Here is a 27983-nt window from a genome sequence, read left to right on the forward strand (position 1 = left end):
CCATGTTATATTTTACATCTTGCTTTTAAACTTAATTATGTATCAGAAATGGTTTCCCAGGTCAGTGTATATATAGATATACCACATTTTCTTTTTATAATAGCTTTTTATGGAATGGAGGCATCATAACTTATTTAATCATTTGCTTACTAAGGAACATTTAGGTGTTCATATTTTCTGCCATTTAAGAAAATCTTCATACATATATCTATATGTACTCATGCCATTCTTTCTGTAGGGTGGATTTTTAGATGTTGGACTCCAAATCACCATCCCTCAGTTTTTGTACTAATTTTTACCACAACCATTTTCATTATAATTCCACATATATTTTTAAAATTTGGCCTATTTTTAAAACTACCTTAATTCATATTTTCTTTTTATTAATGATCTTGAACATCTTTTTATCCATTGTTTGGACAATTATTTTTTTTCTGCTAATTGCCAGATTAAATTATTTTTCTATTTTTGTGAAGAGTTTCTTGTTGTTTGGTAGAAGCTCTTTGTATGTTTGATGTGTTTCTTTTCCCCCAGTTGGTCATTTGTCCTTCAACTTTCTTTGTGGTATTTTTCTTCAAAGAACAGAAATTGTAATTGTTCTGTGTGTACTTAAATGTGACATCCTTTTCCTGTGTGACTCCTTGGGTTTTGTCTTGCTTAGAAAGCCTTTCCACTCTAAGTCTATAAAAACCGTCTCTATAAAAATAGTAATGTATGGATTCATTACTTAAAACGTATATCTCAATCCACACAGAACTGATTTAACTTTGATTTTAGTAAGAGAACAAAATTTAAGTAGAAATTATCTTCAAGCACTTGCAGAATAATGAAACCTGGGTCAATAAATAGCTGAGATTTAAAAAGAAAAAATAATTCAGACAAACCTGATTACCTTTCTTGATAAAAAAAAAAAACTAAATTAGTGGAGGGAGAGCAAGATGTGTAATAAATTTAGACCTTTGACATACAGTGTCTCCATCAATCTTTCATAGAAAAATTAATTCAAATTGGCTTCTTCAAGGTGAACACTGTCATCTGAATTGAAAACTGCCTGATAGATCATAAACAACGAAAATAATAATAGCATTGATGCATCTAGCCATAGGGAAGAAGAAACAAATATCACACTAAGATCAATGATAGATCTGGATTCACAAAGCTTTTATATTAATAATCTGGAAAGAATAAAGATAAATGAAGTAATTATTCATTTAAGAAATGTCACTAAAAGAAAAAGTGCACTCTACACACCTGAACGCATTATAATAGAAGATTGCTGTGAAGGATAGAACCCTAGTAGGATATCCAAATAATAACTGACTTGGAGCCAACCCCATGATCATTTCTCTATACACATAAAATTAGTTCAGTCAATTCGCACTTATGGTGACCACTGTGTAACAGACTAGAGACAAATGCATTCAGTTTAAGACTCTGCAGGAAGAGCAATAGGGATACTCCTAGCCAGAGAAAGGTGAGGCAGTGGTGGGTGAGGGCACTGTGGATGTGGAAATAAAAGTCAAAACAGCTATGGCTCCTACTCCCATGACCCTCAGACATGGCCCAAGCAAGGGAAGATGCTCTAAAATCTGCCACTACCTGAAAGTTGTGATAGAAAAAGTAAATAAATTACAAACCAACAATGATAATGAAAGGTGACTGAACTGGTTTAGATGAAATACAAAAAAAAGCATAATAAAGTGTTGATGCTAAATTCACATATCATTTTAGTGTTTACACAGTGCTTTCCCATAGTCTTATTTGATTAATACCCTCAGGTACCCTGAAGTAGTCAGGAAAAGTGTGATTAATAGATTCATTCTCCTCCCGAGGCTAAGTAGAACCAAAGAAATTGCCCAAGATTACATACTCTGCTGGGGATCTTTTATTTCTACTATACCTACTCCAACCATTTAAAGCAATTCACAGAGAAGTGCAATCAGGTTTGGAAATATGTAAAAATTGTACCTCAAAAACTTTTTTATAAAAGAAAAGCAAACAGTATCTTTATTAGACAAATAATTTCCACATTCAGTAAACACATGAAATACATTATTTGGCCTCAAGTCGACATACTTACTTTTCCTCTGCCTGCCTTCCTTTCATCCTTCCTTTATTCCTTCCCCTGCCCTTTTCCCCCATGAGCATTCTTCTTGAAAACATGGGAAGCAACTCAAGCGAGTAAGAATGTTTAAGTACATGTATTGCAAAACAATCTTTCTGGGAAAATCTCAACTTTTCACCCATGGAGGGAGTGGGAGATTTTTTTTTCTCACAAGTACCTAAAGCCCAAAAGGCTCTTAAATTACTTTTAAGATTAACTTTAATGCCTCCATGCCACCCAAGTGATAATGTCCATTCTCCATGTGGGCACCGTACTGCAATAGACAGGCAGCTTGGTTTGTCTGCCAACACCATTGGAAGCCAATGATGCCTGCCTTCAGGTAACTGGATGAAACATTTCATTAGAGAAATGTTATTTGTATGTTAAGACACTCTTGTCATGATTCCTTGCAGCTGTTGATTTCCTTTTCACAAGACTTACTTATTACTGTGTAAATATAGCACACGTATATATAGGTATACATATATATATACATGCTTGTGTGTGCGCGCGTGTGTGTATTTCCCTCGTGGACAATTCAATCAGTACAGTTTTCAGCCAAATGAAATAAAAAGCAAGTTAAATCTTTCTTAAACATAAGTTAAAATGATGATGTGCAACAATACCGCATTGCTAGAAGAGATCAAATGACCTCATCAAAGATGTTTGAGAAGATATCAAACGTATCCATGTTAAATTTCAAAATGTAACTGTGAAAAGCTCTCTAGATAACCATCTGTTTATCTAGTTCCTCCTATATATAATCAACTTTCTTTCAAACAGGAACTCTTACATTGACAAAATAAATGAGTCCAAATATTTGGCTTAATAGATCTTCACTTTAATTAATCAAATAAAATGAATCTTTCAACTGAAGTTTACATTTGTCTGTTTGATCTACAATTTTGAAGGATATTCATAATATTTTGTACACTACAAAAAGCATATCTACTTTTATTTTTATTTCAAGCAGCTGGCCTGTGTATACAATCATAGAGGAGAAATGTTTTTAATAGGGATATCATCTCTAAATTTTAGTGTGTTTCAATCTTATTTATAAAAGGGAGAAAAGCTTGAAAGAATACTTCAGAAACATTTTAATAGAAAAGTATTAAGTATTTATGATTCTATTATGTGCATTAAACTTTTGGAAAATAATTTAACTTCAGATGATATTTCAGGATCAGAATGTCTGAATAATGTTAACACATTTTTGTCATGATGTCTTAACATTAAGACAGTAAGACATTCTGTAAGATTGCATGATGAGAAGACATAGATAAAGTGAGAAGTTATTGAGACAATGGGGCTAAAGTATTTATTAATGTTGACTAGTAAAATACAATGAGGATCTAGAAGATTTTATGTCTCCATAGATCACCACATCCTATTATTCTTTTTCTACCATATATGGTAAAATCATTCACAAAAAGTAAAACAGGGAACTGTTTTGTAAAATTATGTATTTATGATAAATTATAGAATCATATCTTGTAAATTCACAGCATAAGCGTCTGAATCTATAAAATACATGTATGTATAAATATACAAACTTCTATTTACAAATAATTAGCTTCCAGGATTGTGTCTGATAACTTTTAATGATAATAAATGTCCATGTCAGATCATATTTTGTAATCATAATCAACCTATCACTGAAATAATTTTTGAGGCGTTTCTCATATTTGAGTATTTCATAGTCAGCATTTCAGTATTGTCATCCATCGCTATATTCTCCTCATTACCAGGAGATGGCGCTGTGGGTTTTAAATCGCAAAGCTAAAAATTCCCAAAGCCGCGCTGAAATTTTCAGTTTCTTTCTTTCCTTAATTTGTGCACGCCAGGCAATCCCTAACAGTGTTTACCATTTTTTCCTCGAACAAGTTTAATCTTTAAAATTTTTTCAAATGTTTAATATTCTGTGATGATAAGATTCCAGGGGAAAGAAGGGTCTGACACAAATAAGCATAACAGCCCCCTAGGGAGGACAACTGAATGAAGGAGTTGTCCCAAGTAGGCGAGGCGGTATGAATTCCTCATAAACTCTTTTCACTAGTTTTGCTCTACCTGCACCCGCATGTCCTACATTGTTCTCTGAGGTTTCAGCAGTGATAATGCAGGCGCTAAGTTATTCGCTCACTGTACGGTCCCCCTGGCCTTCAAAGTCGCCAAAGTGGGGAAAGACCACGCAGGAGCCAGGTGAGACCCTCGCGGTGGGCTCGGGGACTTGTGTGTGCACCTCGCGCTGAGAAGGCTGCCTCCCGGGGCTCAGGGTTTGTCTTCAAGGTCTGTTCAAATTTAGGCTAACTCGTCCCCAAACAGTAGTGAGGACCAGTATGTTTTCTGTAAAATAGATACAGACAAGGAAAATCTTTTCGAAAGAACGCTATACGAACAAGTTTCAACTTTCCCACAGTCGAAATTTTTGGAATTGCCAAGCAACTTGGAAAGACTAGCAAGACGGGGGGCCCTTGGCTCACTGCCAGGAATGCGCCAGCTCGCGCTAGTCCCCCAGCGTCGTCACCCTCGCTGTCCTCCTCCTCATGAGCCCACACATGTGGACCCAGTCTCTCTGAAGTGAGCTTTGTAGGACTCGGCGGCGAAGGGGACGAGAAAATACAGATGACAAAACGACGCCGAAAGGCTTGACCTCTGGGGCTAATCTCTCTGCCTCCGAGTAGATCCCGCGCTCCCAAATCCGGCGGGGGCGCAGTATGGTGAACCCCACACCTAGCTCCCTCAGCTGCGTGGGTTTCAAGCTGACCCAGGCGCCACCAGGCAGCCCCGAGTGGGCGAGTCAAGTGCAACTTCAAGGTCAATGTGCCTCTGACTGGGGCCTGGAGAGCTGCCAAGAATGCTGGGCTTGGAGCGCTGGGGTCGCGCCCCGCTACTGCGCCTTGGACCCCGCAGTGGAGGGCGCTGAGACCGCACCCCCCTCCCCGGGCAGTTTTCAGGAGAGGGTCCAGCTGGGGTCTCCGCGGTGGGGTCCAGAAACGATATTCCGGGTTGGATTCTTCCTCGGTTGGGGAAGCACAGCTGGCGGAGAATTCCCACGGCTCTCAGTGGATTCGCTTTTCCAGAGCTGTTCTCAAGCAAAGTTGTCATTTTTGCCAAACTTTGTTTTTACTTTTTAGACTGTTCTGAAAGAGATAAATTGAAAAACACAGAGAGACAATTTTCCTTCTCAGAAGATACACATAGCTACCCAAATTCAGACTTGTAACTTTTCAAACTAGTGAAGTAATAAACTATTTATCAGTACTATAAAAATAACAAAGACGAACTTCTGGCTTTACTCTTTAGAGTAGATTATGTTCCATTCTGATTTTACTTGGGTTCCTATCTCAAATTTCAAGCAAATATCAAGATGATCATTAAGAAATTTAAATAGTACCTAGAAATTAGTTTGGTCTGCAGCTCAATGCACTAATTTCAATGCGGTGCTGTCTGCTGAATATTTTAAACTCCTTTCAAAGCAGTAGGTGTATTCCCTCCCGCAGTAACAAAACGATATTCATCTTTACACAAGGTGCTCTGGCGTTTATAATTTGGTATCCAACACCCGGCCGAGAATGTTCCCTTTCCTGATGCTTTGGCCAACCGGCCTCGATAAGCCAACCAGCCCAGAACCAGGGGCGCTGGGCTGGGTGTTCCTCGGGGACGGCGCCCACTGCCCGCTTGGTCCCTGGAGTGTCCCGAGCTGCCTCCCATACCCCTGCTGCGGACAGAGTGGGGGCAGTCCTCTGCCTCTGTTTCCCAACTGCTTTGGTAACTCAGTGACTCTCTGTGAAACTGCAGAGTCAGAGGACTTCCCTTCCGTAGTTTTCATTCTAAGCGGTCATCTGTGAGTCAGAAGATTTCGCCGTGGCCTGATTTCCCACCCTTTCTGCCCGCGCAAGCCGAAAGCGCTCATGTTGGCTTTTCCTTTGCCACTTTTCCAACTTGCCAGTTCCATCAGGAGCCCGGATCCTTGCCCAGCTTCTTGGCGGAGCCAAGTTCGAGCGCACAGATTTCCCGAGCTCCAGCGGCCAGGGGGCACTGTGTGAGCGGCTGACGTCACCCCTCCGCCCGGCCGAAACCAGGCGGCGGGATCCCACACAGTTGAGGAGAGGGAGCCGAGGCCGTGACTTAGGGCTGGCGACGATTAAACCAAGTAACGAGACACCGGGCAGATGTGTTTTCATTGCCCTGTAAGATAAATGCAGTGTTAAGTGCCTGACAACTTCCCAGAAGCAATCAGCAAAAGTTTACGAGTGCATAAACCTCAAAGACCATTCCCTATCGGTTGTTATAAGGCCGGTATTTAGAGCTTCCATAAATTCTTCGGCCTTTTCCCAAAGCAAAGTTTTCAGCGACTATTAAGCAGCCACCTCCTCCGGGAAGACTAGGGGGATTTTCTTGAATTACAAAAGGAAGAGGCTTTTGGCTCCTACCGAGTAAAATGAAGTTGTGCAAAAGTTTGTTCCAGAAGCTTGGATGGCCAGGGAGAGGAGGGAGGTGGCAGGAGGTCGTGGAGATGGGGTCGGGAAGGGCCACGAGATGCGCTCAAGTGTTTGTTGCCTAAGGGCGAAAGACAAAGGTCCTGCGAAGATCCTGGGTCTAGCTGAGCTGGCAGGGCCTTTGCCGCCCTCAGTGTCGCCCCTGCTCTGCCATCCCGGCTCTGCCGCTCACAGCCCCGCATGGCACCCCCCACCAGTCCCTGACATGATCGATCCTTCGCCCTTCAAATGTCCACTTCGGGCCGGCAAGAATCCTGGCGCCCCGCAGAAGGTGGCAGCCCACAAAAAGGGCAAGCTGGCTGGAGAACTAAGTCAGACATTGTGAGATGTGTCCCCATCCTGCCCAGAGCCACGACCGGGCCAGCCTCCGCCCTCCCGAAAGTGACCCAAGGACTTTGATAAGTTAGTGTCATGCATACACGACCCACCTATGTTTAGAGAGAACCTTTGTTTATGATCCCAGTGAAAACAAAGCTGCTAATTGAAAAACAATAACACTAGCGTGTCTTTAGCTTTCTAAAGGGAGAGGTTAACAGCTGCGAACGCCGGGGGAGGGACGGTGGGAGGGGTGCGGTGAGCGAGGGGCTGCCCTGCATGTAAACAGCCTCGGGGTCCCAGACGAGACAAGTGGGACCGCTCAAGCCTGCAGAACCCCCGGTCTCGGTCCCAGGCACAAGAGCCTCCCGTAGCCCCGCCTGATCTTTCTCAGTCTTTAGGTTCCAGGACATCCAAAGGAGCGTAGGTAACCGACGTCTACGTAGTATTTCTGTCCCCGGAAGACTGGATCTCAGGGAATTATTATGGAAGATACTGCTGAGCCCCTTTCATCCTTTCCAGGTGAAAATACAGACATTTTTGTGTCGCCCTCACCCTTCCTTTATGAAATAAGGTGCCCAACTGTTCTGATATTACCATTCAAAAACAGGTTCTGTGGCGAACCTCATTTGTGAATCTATTACAGAGATTAATAGATTATTTCTCCTTTTTCAACTAATTCTCAGTGGGGAAATTTAACCATATGGTAAGGAGAGAATTAGAATTTCATCACATTAGAGCAAAATGTAATGAAAAGAGTCCAACACCTGGGGCCAACTCCGAAAGCCACAATTAAAAGGTTTTTAATGAAACCAGAGAAACCAAAAATTGCATAGTCTTCAGTACTTCTGCCATATAAGAAAGAGTTATTGGAAGGTGTTGGGAAATATTGTTTTTACTTATGTCATAAGGATGAAAACCAGCTGCTAAATACCATGTGTACCCAGAGACCGAACTCAGGAGTGAGATGACCGCGTGTACCAGTGCCCATCCGGAGAGGAGCACTTGTTTTTACATTCTCCCTTCCCGAACCCTCCAAGAACAACCGAGGCTGATCCAGATGTCCTTAAATGGCTTCCGGGTAAATAAATATGCATAAATGCCTCACTTCGTGTGGGAGCGGATTTGACTCCTGGTGAAGTTGACTCTTTTGAAGCAATCAGATTTTCATCTTAAGGAAAGTTTGAGAAACCGGTTTGTTTGTTTGTTTTCTTCCTGTTTAGGAAATTGTGTACTTCACAATTACCATCACTGTAACAGTTATTTGGAGACCACTGCAAAATCACTGCCACCCCACCTTAAAAAAAAATGGGCTGCATGATCACTTGCTCTTCATTTTGCTTTTTTCTTTCTTTTTTTCCAATCTGGGTAGGAAATGGGCAGTGGCGGGTGTGGAAACGAGGCAGAGTGTTCGGGGGGACGACTGCTTTGCTCTCTGACCAGCTGAAAACCTAGAGTGAATTTTGGGCAAGCCAGCTGGGACACCACCTTCTCTCGGAAAGTCCCATCCCCAAATCCAGACCAGTCATCCTACGAACAGGGGTGGAGTATAATTCTCGCCCGGAAGGGTAATTTAGCACAAGCTGAGACAGCAGTGGCGAGGGAAGGGCAGTGGGGGGTGGGGTGCGGTGGGTGGGGGCGTCTGCTTTCCACAGGACTCCCAGGCTTCGCCGCCGATCTACAATTTGCTGAAGGAGCAAAGAACATCCTCGGCTCTAAGTAGGGCTTTTAGTGTGCTCATTGATGAGTGAAAGTCGCCACACATGTCAAGCTAAAGGCAGTTGTTGGGTTACTAACAGGACCCAGCGCCTTGCAAACATATGCGCTAAGCTGTGTATACAGATGGCAGGCAGAATAATGGAGCAGGCGCCTTTTATAAAGCTCTAGCTGCTGCCTGTCTTCAGACCTGGGAAATGAAACTATTCAGACTTGCGGCCAGATAGCGCCTGCGATTGTTTGTTACCGTTTTAATCCTATTAATTAAAACGTTAACCTGATTGGGTAGAAAGCGCTGTCCCAACAGGCGAGTCTTCTTCATAATAACCTACTCAGAGATAATGATGTAAAAGACTCCCCCGTCTGTGGCGGCGGCTGTTTGATGGGTCCGGAAATCTCTTGAAGGTGAATCCAAGCAAGATAAACGGTGCGGAGAGGAGGCGCGGGGCTGGGCTCAGAGCGGCGGCGGCGGCGGCTCCACTCCCTCCGCGCCCACCCTCCCACCATGCGGGGCCGCGGCCCATGGTGAGCCCCAGCAGCCAGCACCATCGGCTGGAGACGAAGAAGAAGAAGAAGAGGAGGCGGCGAGCGCGGGGGAAGGCGAAAAAGAAAAAGAAAGAAGGGGAGAGGGCTCCCGGCAGCACCAGGACCGACGCGCGCACCAGCTCCGGAGCCCAGCTCGCGCGCGTCTGTGGGGCCGCCTGACTCCGGGGCCGAGGCGGCGGCGGCGGCAGCGGGCGCGGCGGCCCGGGCTGCGCGCCGGCGCGGGACCATGGAGCGCGGGATGCACCTCGGTGCAGCGGCCGCCGGCGAGGACGACCTCTTCCTGCACAAGAGCCTGAGCGCCTCCACCTCCAAGCGCTTGGAAGCGGCTTTCCGCTCCACGCCCCCGGGCATGGACCTGTCCCTGGCGCCGCCGCCTCGGGAACGCCCGGCGTCCTCCTCCTCGTCGCCCCTGGGCTGCTTCGAGCCGGCTGACCCCGAGGGGGCAGGGCTGCTGTTGCCGCCGCCTGGAGGAGGCGGCGGCGGCAGCGCGGGAAGTGGCGGCGGCGGCGGCGGCGGGGTGGGTGTCCCCGGGCTGCTAGTAGGTTCAGCCGGCGTTGGGGGCGACCCTAGCCTAAGCAGCCTGCCGGCCGGGGCCGCCCTTTGCCTCAAGTACGGCGAAAGCGCGAGCCGGGGCTCGGTGGCCGAGAGCAGCGGCGGCGAGCAGAGCCCCGACGACGACAGCGACGGTCGCTGCGAGCTCGTGCTGCGGGCCGGAGTAGCCGACCCGCGGGCCTCCCCGGGAGCGGGAGGTGGTGGCGCGAAGGCAGCCGAGGGCTGCTCCAATGCCCACCTCCACGGCGGCGCCAGCGTCCCCCCGGGGGGCCTGGGCGGCGGCGGCGGCGGGGGTAGCAGCAGCGGTAGCAGTGGCGGCGGTGGCGGTAGCGGTAGCGGCAGCGGCGGCAGCAGCAGCAGCAGCAGCAGCAGCAGCAAGAAATCCAAAGAGCAAAAGGCGCTGCGGCTTAACATCAATGCCCGAGAGCGCCGGCGGATGCACGACCTGAACGACGCGCTGGACGAGCTGCGCGCGGTGATCCCCTACGCGCACAGCCCCTCGGTGCGAAAGCTCTCCAAGATCGCCACGCTGCTGCTCGCCAAGAACTACATCCTCATGCAGGCGCAGGCCCTGGAGGAGATGCGGCGCCTAGTCGCCTACCTCAACCAGGGCCAGGCCATCTCGGCTGCCTCCCTGCCCAGCTCGGCGGCTGCAGCGGCAGCAGCTGCTGCCCTGCACCCGGCGCTCGGCGCCTACGAGCAGGCAGCCGGCTACCCGTTCAGCGCCGGACTGCCCCCGGCTGCCTCCTGCCCGGAGAAGTGCGCCCTGTTTAACAGCGTCTCCTCCAGCCTCTGCAAACAGTGCACGGAGAAGCCTTAAACACACCCCCGAAAAACACAAGACCGACCCAAAATCTAGAGGAAAGCGAAAAGCTGCTCCCCACCCCCTTTATTTTGGTCCTCTCGTAGTTGTGAAACACTTGCAGAGCAAACAAAGCAGAGGCAAGAACTGAGGAGAAGTATCAGAGACAAACGGGACTTTTAGCCTTGACATCCCCAGAATCTCGGTCTTTGGGGTGGGGAGGGAGGGAGGAGGGAGGTGGAGTTGGGATGGAGTATGGATGTCTTTTTTTTCTCAGAAAAGTGGCAACTTTGGTGGCAGCCTAGACCGCGAGGAAGTGGAATCTTCCTTAAAGGTGAAACATAAGTTGAGAAGTAGTGCTTGGTTATTAAGCCTGGAGAGTGTTTGAATGGCAAAATACTAATCCTACTAATAATTGTGGATTTGGCTAGTGCTGAGGGGGAGAGGAGGGGTTAGGGGTTGGGTAGCATGAGAGATGGAATATTCATTCAGACAAATCAGAAAGGGCACTTGAAAATAAATTTTGATTCTGAGCCAGGAGAAAAACTTGAAATGTTGACTTAAGTGAGGGGGAAATAAAACCCAGAGAGAGAGAGAGAGCGAGAGAGAGAGACATGTTACTATGAAAGACTTGTATTTTTTATTGTCTCTGAACTTTAATCCTGTGAAAATGCTCAAAGTTTTGGCGAGAGTGATATAAAAAAACTGACTGTGGCTGAAAGAATTGCATTTAAAAATATTTATGTGCACCTTGTTACTTTCTACTCTGCAATGATGTATTAACAATTCATGGTATTTATTTGTTATTCTTCAATGACCCTTCCACATCAACAGTATTTATCATGTGTTAAAGTCATGGGTCTTATGTGCAGATTTTTTTAATGCCTCTAAAATTGTTTTATAGATTACTTATGCTGTGTGCCAAGTGTTTAAAGGTTTATTTGCCAACAAGTATGAAGAGAAATATTGATGTATCTGAGCTGCTTAGGTTTATGAAAGGTCACCTGGATATTTTCAGTTGCATCATCCCTGTATTTAAATTGAGCTTTAATAAATTGCTTCAGTCCAAAAATTACAGGAAAGGTGTATTCTTAATTGATGAATGAATTGATCTCTTTTTTGAAAGGGGACTCCTTTACATTCCAAAAGGGAAAAACATCACAGCAATAGTTGCTATACGTAAGAACATGCTAAGCAAATATTTTTCCAGGCTGTGCTGTGCATTTTTAAAAGGTCTAATTTAATTGCTTTTAATATATATGTACATATATGTTATTTTAACTGTGGAGAATTATTTAAGTTAAAAGACTGGTTTGATTTGCCTATGGTGTGAAATCCTTTGTTATTTTTCTAAAAAAATAAAATTTAAAAAGAAAGAAAACTAAGGAAGAACAAGAAGCTATTTACCCAAAGTGAGCTTTCAGTTTTAGTTTTGCATGGCTGTTTGACTGCCTTTCCGCCCTATGAAAATCAAGAAAATCTTTTTTAAAAATGGAGTCCTGCTATTTTCCACTCCTTGCAGATAATACAAATTCAGTTTGTCAGGTTGGATGGTGAGTTGGGAGCTGTGATGGATCTGTTGGCGGGTTTTGGATGTGTAAAGAATGATATATATATTAAATAGGTCAATCAGACTATGACAGCTATGTACGACCATTTGTATGTGTATCTATGTCAGAAAGAATCTTTATTAAAATATTTTGATCAAACATTTTATTATGCTGTGCTTTGTGGAAGAAGCAATCACCTCTCTTCTGTGTTACTCTTTGCTTGAAAGGTAACAAAAAAGAAAGGAGTTTCAGAGAAGGTGGAACTAAAGTTTTTGCAGGGATGCACAATTAGAAGTAGCCCTAATTTACTTGTTTACTTGTTACAAGGAGGAGAGATGAATGGGGTCAGTGGTGAAACCCAGAAGAGATTCCAAGTTTCTGGCTACTGGCATGAACTTTGAAGGCCACATTCTCCCTGGAAATCTTTTTCCACTTGTATGGCACTGTTAACCATGCCAGGGCCCGTCAAAGAGGGTAAAGTTTCTTAAGAGTTTGTCATCAAAATTTCTACCTCCAAATGCGTGAAGGGCAAGGAAAAAAAATGGACTTGGATTCTCTGAGCACTGATTTCACTGTGACTTTCTACTTTTTTGTGATAAAAAGAATTAACTTGAATCATATAAGCATACACAATGCCCATAGAGATGATCAGAATTTTACTAGTGTTGCTTGATGATGAGATTTTTAGGTTCCGTGTTTGGATTTAGGCTTTGATTCTGTTAAAGAATGACTGTCGAGACTTGTATTTTGACCTTTATATTGCCCTCAAATATAGAAGGTGTGATTTTTTACTGTGGCACAGGTTGCAGAGATAGTAGTGGTGGTGGTGCAGAAGTTAGATGTTTCCTCTGTACCCAGTATGCTAAATGCATTTTTTTCTATACAGCCTCTGCTCATAAAGATATCCCTAAATGCCATCAAACTTAGTGGGGGGTGAGGAAGGATATTTTCTACTCCACTTGCCATCAAAAAAGATTAATCAGAACTTGTAACTTTTCAGAAAACATAACTGCAAAGGGCCTTGAAGCTGGAGCCCTCCCAGACTGGGAGTGAGGGCAGAAGGAGGGAGGAGACCAGGGCAGCCCCCAGGCAGGAGCCGACCTGTCTCTCAGCATTTACCAGACAAAGCCTGGGTGCGTCTAATTATGATTATTAAAACAATTTCCATGACGATGTCTAATATTATGTTAATTTGAAAACAACTGTGTATGAAAACTGTCGACTATAATACCTAAATTCATTTAATGAAACACATCGTTAAGGCAATTAAACCTCCTGGATGTGATTAAGAAACATAATTACGACACTGTTCTGCGCCATAATTGGGTGTCTTTAATCAAGGGGTAAAGTGATCAGCAACACAGCCATTAGTTTGTATTGTTCTGGCCCTGCTGTCCATCATTCTGATTAGGAATTAGCCACAGCCACCACCAGTCAGATTTTTTTTTTTCCTTTTGCATATTAACATTGTAGGGGACACATTTGCTGCAAGATTTAATGCTTAATATTTCTCATTATTAGAAGGCCTTCTTGAAATACTTCCTTTGCAACCTTTGTACTGTTCAACTATTATTAAAAATTGTACAGAAGAACACATCTTGAACTTTAGGGAAAAAATAAAGAAATGAGAATCCTCCTCTCTTTAACCACTCAGCTTTCAATCTTAGTCCTGAAGGAGACTTGGATGGGGGTGGGGATAGGAAGATATTGAGAATAAATTCAAATGTCACATGAATAGGCATAATTATTTAGTGTATTAGGCTTATTAACATTTATTTTCATTTTGATAATTTTAGACAAATCAACCCTCTTTCCAAACCTAGGAATTGGCCAGCCTGTGGTTTTAGCAATTAACATGGGACATCTGAAAGAAACAGGAGAGGAGTTTTCTGTGGTTTAGTTAGGTGATCCTCCCTGCCCTAACTCCAACCTTTCTAAAGGGTTTTCAGCAGCAGCTTTAAGAAAAGGAAGCCAGTGATTGGAGGGACAACACTTTCCACTCCTGATAAAGCCCTAGAGCTACTTTCTTTCTGGGGTCTGAGCCCTGAGTTTTGGCCTAGTCTGAAGAGTTAGCCCACACACCATTGACCCCAGCTGTCTGTCCAGCATGGAGCGCACAGGTCGGAAATGGGGGACTGAGCACCAGGGGAATCAGTGTGGTCTTGCAAAAGTCTCCTTGGGTTAGAGCAGACAGCCTGGTTCCTAAGACTGCAGCATGTGCCAGAGTGCAAGGGTATCTTGGCCACCCCTGAGCTTGCTCTGGCATCCACCACGCCTTGGGGTGCTTCTCTCAGGCACACCCATCCCGCCAGTCCGATCTCTCTGCTGGTGTTCCTTACAGAGCTGAGAGTGGACAGATGAGGCCAAGCAAAAACTGAGTCCCACTGGCTTTTTATTCTCACTTAGGGTCCCGTCGCCAGCTTGACACTGGGGACCAACAGAAGGGTTAGCTTTGCGTGTACGACTGCAGGACCAGCAAATGATCATCTTCGATAGAGCTCTCTAGTTACCCGTGCTTCTCCCTCCCTATGGTATGTGTTTGTGTGTGTGTGTGTGCGTGTGTGTGCGTGTGTGTGCGCGCGCGCGCGCACCCGCACGCAGTCTGCAATGCCCTCACCAGTCCCCGCAGCTGGGCAACCCCTCCAAGACCCTGTGTTACGCTTAAATTCCTCTCCCTCCTATCGTACCCACCATCCATCCTTACAGCAGGGAGGCCGAGACTCACAGAATTCCCTTCTCCACCAACTCGCACTCTTGGTCTAGCACGCGGAAACCGAACCTTTCTACGCGGCCCGACCTTGCGATTGCTCCAGCATGAGTGGCATTGACTTTTCCAATGTAATGACTTATGAAAGATATAATCATGTGTTAAATTGAATCCTCCGTTTAACTGTTAATGGTGTGCTCTGGGCACATTTACGTATTTGATGCTATGGTAACTAATTACCACTAGAAAAAAGGATAATACACTTCCCAGACTTTGAAAAATAATCATGAGTTCACTTCCCGGCTCGCAGCACATCGTGGCGGCCCTGCCGGGAGGAGCGAGGAAACGAGTGGAAACCCGAAAGTGTGCTCATGGAATGCAGGAGGTAATGAATCCTGGTCAGGTGAGACTACTTAGTCAAACCTTTAATGAAAACGTGATTCACATGGAAAGCAGGAGTGGGAGGGAACAACTACACAAAGGTGCCTTTAAACAAAATTAAATGGCAAAACCTGACTATCAGAAACATGAATAGGTTTCTTTCAATTAAAATGCAGGTAAGACTAAATTATCCACGTGCCAAGCAACTTTACATCAATTAACATTTTTTTGTTGTGTGGGCAAAGTAAATGAGCCCGGCTCCTGTGCTCTCTGTATTGGCATATACAACTTGAAAGTCTCTGGATTTGCCAAGCCAATGAGCTGCAGGTTTATTTAAATTCGGCCTTTTAAATCAAACTTTAGACACAGTAGGTGGAAGGAGGGAAAGAGAAGGAAAAACAAGGAGTCAGTAACTTCAGTTTAACAGTAGAAACAACTCTTACGGTGAGAGTCTTTTTTGCCCGGCAAATCTCTGGCTCTTCTGATCGACTGGTGTTTAGAACCAAGGTTCCAGTAAACAGGGCTGGGTAGGATAACGAGGAGAGTGTTTGTGCTGGGACCTGGCAGGACTGGAGGAGGAAAGGAGCCGCCTTCCAGCAGGTCCAGCATCCCTAGGTTGCAAACACACCAAATGACGTCCACGCAGCACTCGCGCCCACCGCGCTGTTTTTGCTTGCGCAGTGCTCCCGAAGGGATTCGGGATCCGCATCCGGAGGGATTCGGGATCCGCATCCGAAGAGCACCCCTTCTCTCAGGACTTCCCCTGGGACCGACGTTTCCAGTCACCCCTGCGGGCGCAATTGTCCTTCAACCGCCAAGCTCCTTGGGACAAAAAGAGAACTTCAGGGGCTCTGCCTCAAACTGTCCTTCGAGGGTGGCTCGAGGATCGGGTTGTCCCCTGTATGGCAGCAGGCATGTGGGTTCACACGCAGCTGCCAGGCTTGTAAGAGGCACCCCGCAGCCGCACCAAACCCGAAGCATCCGCGAAAGCGCCCCGGTTTTAAACCCCAAAGAGCTGCTCGCTTCCTCACGCAGCAGGGAAACTCTGCTCGCTTTCCCTGAGGTTAGATTTGTGTTAAATTCTACTAATTTTTCTAAATTACTCGTCTTAACAAATCCAGGAGACTGTTTCTTAACTATTGCAAAATTATCAAGTATACTAGAATGTGTGTGTGAATTTTCCTTCTTTCTCTTCTCCACTTTTCTCTACTGTAGGCAGTACAGAAGTACAGATTTGAGAGCTCTGAAAGAGAAATGAATGGGTTGGGAAGGTTAGACTGCAGAGGAAAAGAGGATTTGTCAGTTATCAATCCTCACCATCCCCAACCCCACTACATATATGATGGACAAGGCTCACAAGTCACCACCATGCTTGGATGGGGAGTTGGCTTTAATTATGCACAATGTGTTATTCTCCTTCTCAGCTTGGGAAAGAGTTAATTCTTTCCCAAAGACCACAGTTGCCCTTGTCTCCTCAACCTGATTCAGAGATGCAATAAAATATGAAGCAAATTTATGGTCTGTTTCAAGCATTTTATTGCTGTATTTTTAAATTCATATATGCACATATAAGAACTATGATCTGTGAATAATTTGAAATGCTATAGAAGAATGATACATTTTAGATAAAACATAACCATATCTTTATATAAATTGTCTGAGATTAAAATAAAAAAGAAAAATAGATTTCTAATGTGGACCAAACCGAAAAACTAATGGCAGCCATAAACTGCTAACCACCCATAAATTAACATCTTCATCAAATGCTAAAATGGTATCACTGGTTATATAAAGCAATTACTATTTCTCCGTATAAGTTTTAGAAGAAAGTTCAGAGATATTTAAAGGATCCGTTATTTACAAATGTTTCTCAATCTTAAAGATTTCATTTTTTTATTAGGAGGATGGTTGCATCTCAAATCTCCTGTTAACAGAGGTGTTTAGAGATGAGAATTTAAATTTAAACATAAAAATGTTTCATGGCCTAACCTCATTTTATACATTTATCCTGCTCTGGCAATTACTGAAGAACTTGGTGCAAGGATTTCTCTGTTACATATCCTTACCCACTTTTTGAAAAGAGATAAACAATCTCTGATTATGAGAGAGACTCAGTTTTTGTACCTAACTAGTCAAAATAATAAATCATGCATTGTCCAATCAAGTAAGTACAGCTACATTTGCCATGTGCAGTCTATTTCTGCAGTAGTACTATGGTCAAAATTCAGATGCCAGGCTGACTGAGTCGGTGCTCTCCATCTAAGATTTTGATGAAAGGAAATGATTTTCCTAAGCAGGCCTCCACAGAAATGTGAAGAGTTGGGAAAGAAGAAAGGATATCTATCTATTAAATGCCTGATGTATCAGGAAGCAGGGTCAGTTAATACCTGCGTCTAAATAACTTACTTTAATTTCCTTTGGAGAAGCATCAGGCATACATCTCTTTAAAGTGTAGATTTCTTAAGAGAGTGAACTTAAGTAAAATCTGTAATTATTCAACAAAGTAAGCTCCTTTAAAAGTTTACAAAATTATGGTTTATGAAAGCAAAACAATTATTTGGCCTATGGAAGATGTGGGTAGCTCACACACTCAAACTATCCCTGCTCCTCTGTTGGATTTACAGCATGTTGTCCCGTGGAGTAGTTGATGTGGACGATTATCCTCAAAGATCAAGAATCAACTAAGATCTTGAACTGGTTAAGTTCTAGGACCACTCCTTAATTTAATTTTCTGCAAGCATTGTTTAGTCCGAGTACCTCCTTCTTGAAAAATAAAAACTGTTTGTAACTTTTCTTTAAGTCTAAACTTAGTTCAAAATAAAAAGTTTTTTTTAAATGTGTAATTGCTCAGTATGAAGGAAGTACTACCACATGTATAGTTTTTACTTATAAAACATTCAATGATTACAAATACTTTTAACGGTATTCCATTTGACGTAGAAAACAAATACATTTATAAAACTTTAAATAAACTCATTAGTCCTTAGAATTATGGAATTGAAGTAATTTCATTCAAACCTTAATTTTAATATAAAAAACAAAAGCATTTATTAAAAAGTTTGGTATCTATCAGGCAATAATGACACAGATTTTTTGGTAACTACGATGGCTAGTTCTTAGAAATAAAAGTTATGTGTAGTAAATATTCTCTTGCACACAAATAAGAATCTCCAACTAATATGTTTCATATTTAGAAATGTTTAAATTTGACTCAATGATGAATCATTAGATAGTAATACCTTTACCTGTTATTTCCATTCCTCTAGTTTCTCCTGTGAGCACAGTTTGCTGTAAGGGAAGTAAAATACTTCATGATTATATCTCTGAACATTTACTTTTTGTGTAGTCTGTGATACATCATGTCTCTCCTTATAAAAGTAATCAACAGTAAATAATTAACAATAAACAATTAACAGTAAACAGTATCAAGCACTTTTCAAAAAACACAGCACAGCCATTGGGCATTTTTTTATCCTGAAAAGAAAATACACATTATTATTCACATGATCATTGCTAATTCTGGAAGGTTCTGCAAATCTAGAATAAAGTTGAAAACAAAAGATAATTATTTCACAGTTTATCTATTTAGTGACATAATTTATCCCAGTTGGTAAATAAACAATAATGAGCTGACTAGTTCAAATGAACAGAACACCTTCTAGCCAACTTCTCACGGAGTCTCAGGCCAGTCCCTGTAAAATGTTAGTGACTCACACCAGTGTCTCTGAGAAAAGCCCAGTGTCCCAGGAAAATACTGTACGTAGGGTTACTAAAAACCCACATTTCATTTTCATCACCACCATTCTGTAGTATATGCTTTATTTACAATTTATTTTAGTTTTATGAACAAATAGAATACTGTCCAAATATTACCCAGCTTTATTCATTATCTGTAGTAAAGAGATCTGCTGAAGACAAAGATTACACCTGCTGAAAACTCTCTCCCATTTATTGTGCTTATACTTCTGTCCACACTAATAGTGATTATTAAGAATTGTAACCTAGCAAGGTCAGCCTGCCTAGAATAAACATTTTAAAACTTAGTGATTTTTTTTGAGTTTGTTATTTTACAAATAAATAATAAGTTAAAATATATTGAAACATACTCTGAAATAGTTAATATACTTTCAGGAGAGCATCAGATGATAAGAATATATGTGTACGGGGGCAAGAAATGGAGATGAGGAGATATTCAGAGAGCAAAATTATTTTCCAAATAATTTTCTTTTGTAATCAAATCTTCTGTTATCCAACATATTCCTAGTAGGACAATAAAGAGACATAATCAGTCATCTGTGCTTTAAAGTTAATTTATTAAATTTTTGTTGTACATAAAAGAACATTAAGTATTAGACTTGCAAAGCACTTGCATTTCTTATCTGACATCTTTTAGGACAATTTGATTCATTGTAAATCCACATATATGTCATTTTAAAATCAAAGATAATATTAAACAATTTCAGAAAATTGTTTTAATAATATACAGCACTCCTCCTTCTAAAAATATTTTAAAACATAAGTATTGACAAATTATAACCTATTTTAAATTGTGTAGAGTTTTTCATGTATTAAATTTATTTTACTCTAGCAAGTAGTATAAACAAAATAAACATTTAAGCCAAAAAGTTCAAACATCAATGATCACTGATTTAGATAAACAAATGAAGTAGAGTAATAATTACTTTAGATAAATACTAAAGAGTTTTATGTGATCATTCATTATAATTTAAAATAGTGCTACAGAGAATGTCATCTTGGCTTGCTAACTTTTTCTGAATTCAATATGTTAATATGAGTATCTAATTATGCAATACAAGTAAACAATAGTTTGCAAGATTGGCAAATTTAATAGGTTAAAAAATGCACATTCTAAGGGCATGTAATTCCTGTTCACATAATTATTGCCATTCTTTTATACTAGGATCAAACACTAGATAAATGTTGTGCTTTGGTCTTTGAACAGTTTTAAACTTCTACTGTTAAGTTAGAAGTCACTTGCAGAAAATTACCCAAATTATTTTTATGATAAAATAAGCATTAAAAATGTAGATTTTCAGTATGGAAGCTCCTTTGCCTTAGACTTGTGACCCAAAACTTAATTATAAAATGGAGATGAAGTAAGGAAGTATGCCAGGAAAGCCAAAACAAGGCAGATAAAAGTTTTCTTCTAGGTTGCTTATAAGCATGCCTGATTTAGTGATAGGTAGCTTTTTCTTAACCACTTCAGGGCTTTAGTTTCTGCTGAGTGTTTCATTACGTTGGTCATTGATATAAAACAATATTTTGGGTATTAATTATTTATTTCTTTTAATTCAAAACTTAGGTGAAGCTATAAAAATGAAAAGATGGGGGCGGGCACGGTGGCTCATGTCTGCAACCCCAGCACTTAGGGAGTCCGAGGCGGGTGGATCACCTGAGGTCTGGAGTTCGAGACCAGCCTGATCAACATGGTGAAACCTCGTCTCCACTAAAAATACAAAAGTTGGTCAGGCATAGTGGTGGGTGCCTGTAGTCCCAGCTACTCGGAGGGCTGAGACAAGGGAATTGCTTGAACCCAGGAAGTGGAGGTTGCAGTGAGCTGAGATCATGCCACTGGACTCCAGCCTGGGCGACAGAGCAAGACTCCATCTAAAAAAAAAAAAGGATGGGATTTTACAATATATAATACAGTTTTTAAAAATTCTAAGCCTCAATGACTATATTTGGTTTTAATTATCATATTATCAAAATACCTGTTGTATATATTTTTATTGTGTATAATTATACATAGTGATTTCTCATTACAGACCATTACTTTGGAATGACTGATGGAAGGCTAGTTAGAACTAGTGATAAATCAGAATTTTAAAATAGTTTTAAAGAGATGAATTTATCACTTACAACTGCATTTATAATAAATTAGTTGCCTACGTATTGTTTTCCCTAACAAATAGTATGTTCTTGAAGGGGAAGGGGAATCCAGTGTCTAGCATCAATCATATCTAGAACAGAGAAAATGCTCAATGAATGTTTGGTTGAATAAATGAACAATGAATTAACAAATGACTATAAAAAACGATTCCCTTGAACAATACACAAGAGCAATTTTTTAAAGGCACAACACTGTTGAAGTATCTTCATTAAACTTTGCATTGGTATATTGCATTATACCATAAATCCATACACGTTACTGTGTTTAATCGTTACAATGAACTCTGATGTCAAAGGGCCTTATTATTTTATTTTTCAAATGAGGACGTTGAAGCTCTGAGACGGAAATTGTTTAATAATAAGCCAGTTATGTCACAGCCAGAATCTGCATCTTTTAACTGATTTGTCCAGGACATGTTTTTCTATTTGTAAATACTATTTAGTTACTGGATTTAAGACTGTCACAAGATTCTCAATGTTTTGTTTTGGTTCTACTATTCATTCCTTTTATGTCATCTTTTCTCAACCATTTCATTTATCCTTACTTTCCATTTCTAAATTCCTGTACACATTTCCAGTTATAAAATAAGCCGAAATTGGAATGGAATAATTTCCTGTGTTCTCTGTGCCTTAACATCACAAAAGTGTACCACTAAGTTGAATTTAAAGCTATGGAACTTCCACTTTAGGCAACATGGCGAACTAGACGTCCAAGTACGAAAAGGACAGAGTATGCTTTGTGGTGGACTAAAGGCTAGGGCCCAGGGTGTGTGTGTGTGTGTGTGTGTGTGTGTGTGTGTGTGTGTGTGTGTGTGTGTGTAATCCAAGGCCTTTGCATAAAGCCAAGAACTTGCAAAGACAACATACTCAATAGGTGAACTAGAAAGAAACTGTGCTCCACAGAGCAAAACTGTCAGTATATTTGCCTATCTCAGTCTTAGCTCCGGGTAAAAATAAACAAAAAAATGAACCCCCAAATGTGTCCCCTGTCTATTCCTAATAAAATGGTTGCATTCTACCTGATTTAGGGCTAGAAACCACAATACCTATGTAGCGTTCCCTCCCCACTCCCAGATAATCAAGCTGAAATTTTAAGGTGATCTGAGTTTGGTAGTAGTATCAGCAGTCTGAAAAATGCAAATACAAATTCTCTCTTGAGGAATGAACTTTAAATCTAGGTCTAAAGATTTTTCAGAGATAAAAATCCAAGGAACATGGGCTCAGTAAACAAGCCATTCCTGGTAACAGTGACAGCAAAACACATAAACTACAGAATTAGATCCACAAAACACCAATGATTTGGAAATATCAGATACAGAATCTAAAATGTTTGCTTCATACAGTTGAAGAAATGAAAAAGGATGTTGAGTTTATAATAAAGGTACAAGATATTATAAAAAATAAGCAGCATATATGAAGAACAAAAGGGAATCGTAAAACTGAAAAATGTAATGATTGAACTTAGCAAACTCAGTGGAATGGAAAACCTGAAGGTTAACAAGCTGGAGACTGACACTCTGACTCAAAATCAACCTTGGAGACCCTACAGAATGGAGAGGATTGGATGGATCTGAGGATGGGACATAACAAATTTAGAACATCTTAGGAAGAATTAAAGTTATCATGGACTAAATGTGTGTATGTGGGGGGTGGGTGGTGGGGCTTGGGGACAAGGCATTTAGCAGCCCTGGGCTGAGATGGTTAGGCACAGTAGTGTGAGGATAGGTGATGGAAAAGCTTTTAAGTTCTGCTTTGGCCTCTGTCCCACAATAACTGTCCTGCTGACAGTGTCCATCACTGGGTAACTAGATCATTAAAACATAATGTGTGCACATTATGGATTGCTGTGCAGCAGTTAGAAGCAATAGATTAAATATAGTAGTATACTATGTATATACTACAGAAATATGAATATATCTTTAAAATCACAGAGCTTCATAAGAAAATTAGGAAGAATATAACTTACAGAAAATAGGTACTCAAGATAATATATGTTACATGAAAACATATACATACCAAGATATGCATCAAACACATTAGAATATTTGCCTATGATATTAGGAAGGGGTATGAAAGTGGGTATTAGGGACAAAACAGAATAAGTAAATAAAGCCAGAGGGACCTTATTAGAACCAATTATAATTGTGTATCATGAACTAAAGAGTGTAAGGAGAGTGATCACTCAACTCGATGAACCTAGAGTTAAAACAAAAAGAAGGAAAAAACAAACTCAGTGGATGAGTTGGAGAGATTAGATATACTGTTCAAAGAAGAAACTGGAAGAGACATCTAAAGAAATTACATGGAGTGTAAGTTAGAGATACAAAGTGTGGTGAGAAAAGATCAAAGGATGTATGTAGAGTGAGAGGATCTAATGTAGAGTGTGAGAACAGTAATATTCACAGAGAGAATGGCTGAGAAGATTCCATACTTGATGGGAGACACCTGTGCTCAGATTCAAGAAGCAGCAGGACATGCAAGCATGAGAAACAGAAAGAAACTAAGAACATCAAAGACAAAGAGGACACGTTAAAGTAGTCAGAGAGAAGAGACAGACTACCTATTGAGTAATTAAACTCACTAACGGCTATCCGCCCAATAACAACAATGGATACCTTAAGAACGGGCAATATCTTCAAAGTGCTGTGAGGAAATAACTGTCAATCTAGATTTGTGCATCCAGCAAAACCATCTTTCAAGAAGGAGAGTAAAAATAAAGACACCCTAAATCAAGCAAAAATAGAATTTGCACCAGCAGACCTTCACTGAAGGAACATTCAGAACATGTACTTCAGGAAGGATAAAATAAATGCTAGACTGTCTTATTTACTTACTAAGAATGTAAATATTTTGTAATGTTATTTTTAAAGTCAGTTTCCTTTTCTCAAAACAGTAGCAGATTTCTGAAATATTAGAAGTTCCAATTAACGAAGCATGAATTAACTGGACTTTATTACCTGCCTTGCCTGCTTATATATTGCATCATCATTTATATCAGATGCCAATCATGTGGTACTCTGATATTAGAATCTTTGAATCACTGGGCTTGGTGGTACATGCCTGTAGTCCAGGTTCCCAAGGGACCAAAGCGGGAGGATCACTTGAGGTCAGGATTTGAGACCAGCCTGGGCAACACAGCCAGATACTCTCTCAATTGAAAAAAAATCTTTGAATTATTGACACAATGCTGCATGTGTCATATGAAATTACACTGCATTACATGATGTTGTAATTCAAAATAGAACACATGAACTCCAAATCCAAAAGGTGAGACATCAAAACCAAATACTATATCTAGCTTCTCAGTTTATATATATGAAAGCATTTAGGAAAGGGTTAATTGCAATATTTGCATAACCTGTATAGTTTATACTAAAGCCAAATGATATAATCAATGCTGTAATTATTTCAACATTTGCTCCCATAATAAACCTAATACTAATGTCTAGGGCAATTTCTGAATATATAATAGGTTCTGTGTTTTCTTATACATTAAATCTTATCAGTATCTAACTTGAACATGAAAGGTCTTATGTAACCAGAAATTTTGTTCTATTGAGCCATAGTATACAAAGTAATAAGGAACATTTATGCATGATTAAATATTGAAGTGAAGTTGAAGCATTCAATCTACTGTGAAACTCATTTAATGCACACATACCCTGGAAATATAGGTATTATTAATATTATACTTGAAGGGAACATTTTCATCCAGTGTAACTCATGGAAATTCAATTTCCTTCTTCTGTGAGAATTTGGAATTTGTTAGACTGTGTCCATTTCCAGCACAATTTTCTAGTAGTTCAAAGTGTAATTTTACATATTAGAGAACAATTTGAGTGATTTAAATTCCACAGTGCCCAATCTATTGGTGTGAAGGTACATTTATTATAACAGGTGAAAATCACAACAAGGAGAAACTAAAAAAACAACAACAACCCTGTTTTGAGCCTACCCTTAAGTTGATTTTGATGTCCATTTTCCTGCCACCATCCTGTTTTATATTATGATGGGCTTTGTGACTAAGGACAAACTGGACTGATATCAGATCAAATAGAAATTAGCGCTTTTTAAACAAATAAATCAATTACATTTGCAGAAATTAAAAAGAAATAGATGAGCTTAGGATGTTTAGGGTAATTTTGATAGATTTATTTTCTTTCCTTTTAGCTTCTCTAAGATTTCACTTTGTATCTAAATAAAACATCAGAATCTGGATACTGAATACCAAACAACAAGCGGCTGTAGTTTAGTCCTATGGGCTTATCATCAATTATTTCTAAATCAAAATAAGTTAAAAGTATAACCAACAATTGTTTTATTTCCATAAGTGCAAAAAATCGGCCTGGACATTTGCTGGTTCCAGTTCCAAACGGCATTAGGTAACACTTCAGCTTTTTCCCTCTTTTGAAAAAGGTGGTTTTCTTCTTACCATCTTCTATAAAACGATCATATCTAAACTCCTGTAAGGAAGAATAGTGTTAAAATTAACATTTTATATGAAATAGTTTGAGTTCAAGTCCACAAAGTTGCTAGCTCTCTCTGCCTGTCTTAAAAAGCTCCTTTTAATCAGGTGAACACCAGAAAAACTTGGCTGAGTGCAAATTAAGCATGAACTTTCAAAAAACTCAAATATTACTAGGAAATTACTTCTCCCATATCAAAGTGAAGTCTGAAAAGCTGTATGACTTTTTTTCTCCACTTGTATTTTTCTCCTAAGCTGAGCTTCCCAAGTAGAGTGGCAACATCACTATTTTTGCTCCCTAAGGTGGGTCCTGACATATGGGCACTTGATTATACCAATGTTAGGTAGAAGGCAAGGGCTCTGGTGAGACTGCCATTGTTACCCGGGTCTGATGAATCCTAACTAGCCACAGGAGCTGCCTAACTGTGGATTCCTAATTCGAGTTTCTCTTATCCCTTCCCCACCAGCTACTGATAGATGAGAACTATGAGTTTAGGATCCGGTGCTGATGTTTGGATTAAACAAATATAAAATCGTAAGATTCAGATAAAGCACTAGAGAGGAACTAAGCCCCAAAATTAATCTTGTTTGTTTTTTGATGTTGTAGTTAATTTCTTCTATGAAAGTTCTATTAAAATCAGCTCTCTGAGTTTACTCTAGGGTGGCAGGTGTTTCTGAAATGTTTTCATAAATGAGTTATATTAGTTTGTTACAGGAAATCATGGGACTGCTTTACCTAGAGTGTTGGGCCTGCCATCTTAATTTTGCCTTGCTGCCAAAGGGTTATGGTTCAACTCTCACTTGAATTTCTTAGAGGGGACTGAGTGACCTTATTTTAGCCTATGGTGAATTAAGCCATTGATTAAATTAATGTCCGTGGCTTGCATGGAAACGACCAAGTATTTCCTGTAGTTGGTGCTCATTAACATTAGACCTGCTCACACACAACTTTGATATGACCTACATGAAGACGAATGCAAAAAAGTAGGTCAGATCCAAAGCATTTCAGGTTAAGGTGAAAACCTTGCAATATGTGGATAGATTCTGAATTCATCACAAATGATTTACTTTTCTCACTCAAAGCCAGTGTTGTTAATGACAGTGAACCATTTCCTTTAAAACTATTAGGTTTGTCCTCATTTATGTAGAATACTTATTTTGATAAGTATTTGAGCTTAGAAAAATTCTCAGTAGTTCCCATTTCCTTCCAACTTGCAAGTGGATGCAATGATAATGGCAAAATTTATCTGCATTTTTATAACTGCTCAATTCCTGATAGTGAATATTTGAGCCCTTTAAAACACGTATTTTACCATAGTTCTGGGATGTATCCAAACGGTATTTAATCAATGCTGAAAGAACAAGGACACCCTTTGTTGACATACAGGGTCACTGGAGATAGAGTTACTAAATGTAACACTCTCCTGGGGAACTTCTTCCATTCCTGGGGCTCAAGCCTGCTTGCCTGAGCTTAGTCCTGCTGCTTCCTCCTTCACGCTGACCAATCTGAGGAGACTGGTCCTCTATCTACCTAACCCAAATCAGTCTAAGTGAGCTTTGCTATGGTATGATTTATTAGGAAGCCTCTCACTGTAGCCCCACTAGTTAAGCCAGCAAACGCAAAATGAAAACTTAGCTTGGATTATGACTTTTTAGTGTCTTGATATCATAAATAAGCCAGAAATCACCATGGTTTTCTGGTTCCTCTTTGTGAAAATGAATGTGCTAACCTCTGAGAGGCCCACGGCAAACACGTGATGCAGGAGTGCTCCTTACCCATGACCTTCAGCTAGTGTTTATATTCAGTTCCCTCAAATTTCTACTCAACGAGCAACACCATCCCTCTAGTTTCCAGGATGTTCTATTCAATTTTCTCATAGTAAACATCTTAGAAATTCCTATTCGGTTGTTTATTTTATGAAACTAAAATGGAAATGGCCACTGTCTTTAGCTCTGTGACCAACACCAAGTTCAAAGGGTGCAGGAGCATAAATATATTTTTAGTTAAAATTTATTTGCAATTTGCCCTATTGCCTAGGCATGGAAAACCTAAGCAGGAACCAATGTTAAGAAGGGCCTGTGTCAGCTGCTAGGGGTACAGTTTTGTTTTAGCTGAAAAAGGAAGGGGTATAATAATCTCACCACTGAGATTCTGGGGTCACAGTGACACAGAACAAAGGTACAGGAAGCTCAAGATGTATCCATTCATTTGGAAAAACTTAAACTTGGAATTCATCAAACTGGTTGAAATTCTTTTTCTTTTCTTTTTTTTTTGGAGACGGAGTCTCGCTCTGTCGCCCAGGTTGGAGTGCAGTGGCGCGATCTCGGCTCACTGCAAGCTCTGCCTCCTGGGTTCACGCCATTCTCCTGCCTCAGCCTCCCAAGTAGCTGGGACTACAGGCGCCCACCACCACGCCCGGCTAATTTTTTGTATTA

At 40.9% G+C, this 27983-nt stretch overlaps 3 protein-coding genes and 1 long non-coding RNA gene across 7 annotated transcripts in view, besides 3 other annotated features; 1 reads left to right on the plus strand and 3 right to left on the minus strand.

Annotated features, from left to right (window-relative positions):
* Nucleotides 1-2923: 2923 nt before the first annotated feature.
* On the minus strand, nt 2924-8628 carry LOC124900252 (uncharacterized). The gene is made up of 2 exons (XM_047422518.1): nt 6538-8628; nt 2924-6292 (listed from the first exon to the last, which is right to left on the minus strand). Exons 1-2 carry the CDS (start codon nt 6783-6785, stop codon nt 5935-5937), a joined length of 606 nt encoding a protein of 201 aa, XP_047278474.1. The 5' UTR covers nt 6786-8628; the 3' UTR covers nt 2924-5934.
* Nucleotides 2924-10508, minus strand: BHLHE22-AS1 (BHLHE22 antisense RNA 1). Of its 2 annotated transcripts, none has more exons than NR_152770.1 (2): nt 10334-10508; nt 2924-5244 (listed from the first exon to the last, which is right to left on the minus strand). It is a non-coding gene; the product is annotated as a BHLHE22 antisense RNA 1 (long non-coding RNA). The 2 variants fall into 2 exon arrangements; NR_015374.2 differs by lacking the exon at nt 10334-10508 and adding an exon at nt 5499-5879.
* Nucleotides 8981-12243, plus strand: BHLHE22 (basic helix-loop-helix family member e22). The gene has a single exon (NM_152414.5). It carries the CDS (start codon nt 9407-9409, stop codon nt 10550-10552), a length of 1146 nt encoding a protein of 381 aa, NP_689627.1. The 5' UTR covers nt 8981-9406; the 3' UTR covers nt 10553-12243.
* Nucleotides 9769-9848: an enhancer, noted in NCBI's record as "active region_27455". NCBI's record gives its function as "activates an Ori minimal core promoter by ATAC-STARR-seq in GM12878 lymphoblastoid cells {active_cell/tissue: GM12878}" and the evidence as "EXISTENCE:reporter gene assay evidence [ECO:0000049][PMID:35858748]".
* The window catches only part of CYP7B1 (cytochrome P450 family 7 subfamily B member 1), a 212163-nt gene continuing 199370 nt past the window's right edge, over nt 15191-27983 (minus strand). For 2 of the 3 annotated variants that reach the window (NM_004820.5, XM_017014002.2), the window contains one exon: nt 19467-25545. In NM_004820.5, the coding sequence (NP_004811.1) occupies nt 25258-25545 (288 nt within the window). In that variant the 3' untranslated portion in view covers nt 19467-25257. Of the gene's footprint in view, nt 16416-18417; nt 18461-19466; nt 25546-27983 lie in introns of those variants that run through there. The other variant, NM_001324112.2, reaches the window with a different exon arrangement.
* Nucleotides 15344-15987: an enhancer, noted in NCBI's record as "H3K4me1 hESC enhancer chr8:65499285-65499928 (GRCh37/hg19 assembly coordinates)". NCBI's record gives its function as "activates a minimal SCP1, AML or CMV promoter by ChIP-STARR-seq in naive H9 embryonic stem cells {active_cell/tissue: H9 hESC(naive)}" and the evidence as "EXISTENCE:reporter gene assay evidence [ECO:0000049][PMID:30033119]".
* Nucleotides 15988-16631: an enhancer, noted in NCBI's record as "H3K4me1 hESC enhancer chr8:65499929-65500572 (GRCh37/hg19 assembly coordinates)". NCBI's record gives its function as "activates a minimal SCP1, AML or CMV promoter by ChIP-STARR-seq in naive H9 embryonic stem cells {active_cell/tissue: H9 hESC(naive)}" and the evidence as "EXISTENCE:reporter gene assay evidence [ECO:0000049][PMID:30033119]".

Source organism: Homo sapiens, chromosome 8, assembly GCF_000001405.40.
Source record: "Homo sapiens chromosome 8, GRCh38.p14 Primary Assembly".
Lineage (NCBI taxonomy): Eukaryota > Metazoa > Chordata > Mammalia > Primates > Hominidae > Homo > Homo sapiens.

Coding starts and splice junctions, on each gene's coding strand:
- LOC124900252 (XM_047422518.1), bottom strand. CDS start 6,785: ATGCGGGGCTGTGAGCGGCAGAGCCGGGATGGCAGAGCAGGGGCGACA. Junction 6,293..6,537: donor GCACAACTTCATTTTACTCG/GTAGGAGCCAAA, acceptor TTTATCTTACAG/GGCAATGAAAACACATCTGC.
- BHLHE22 (NM_152414.5), top strand. CDS start 9,407: ATGGAGCGCGGGATGCACCTCGGTGCAGCGGCCGCCGGCGAGGACGAC.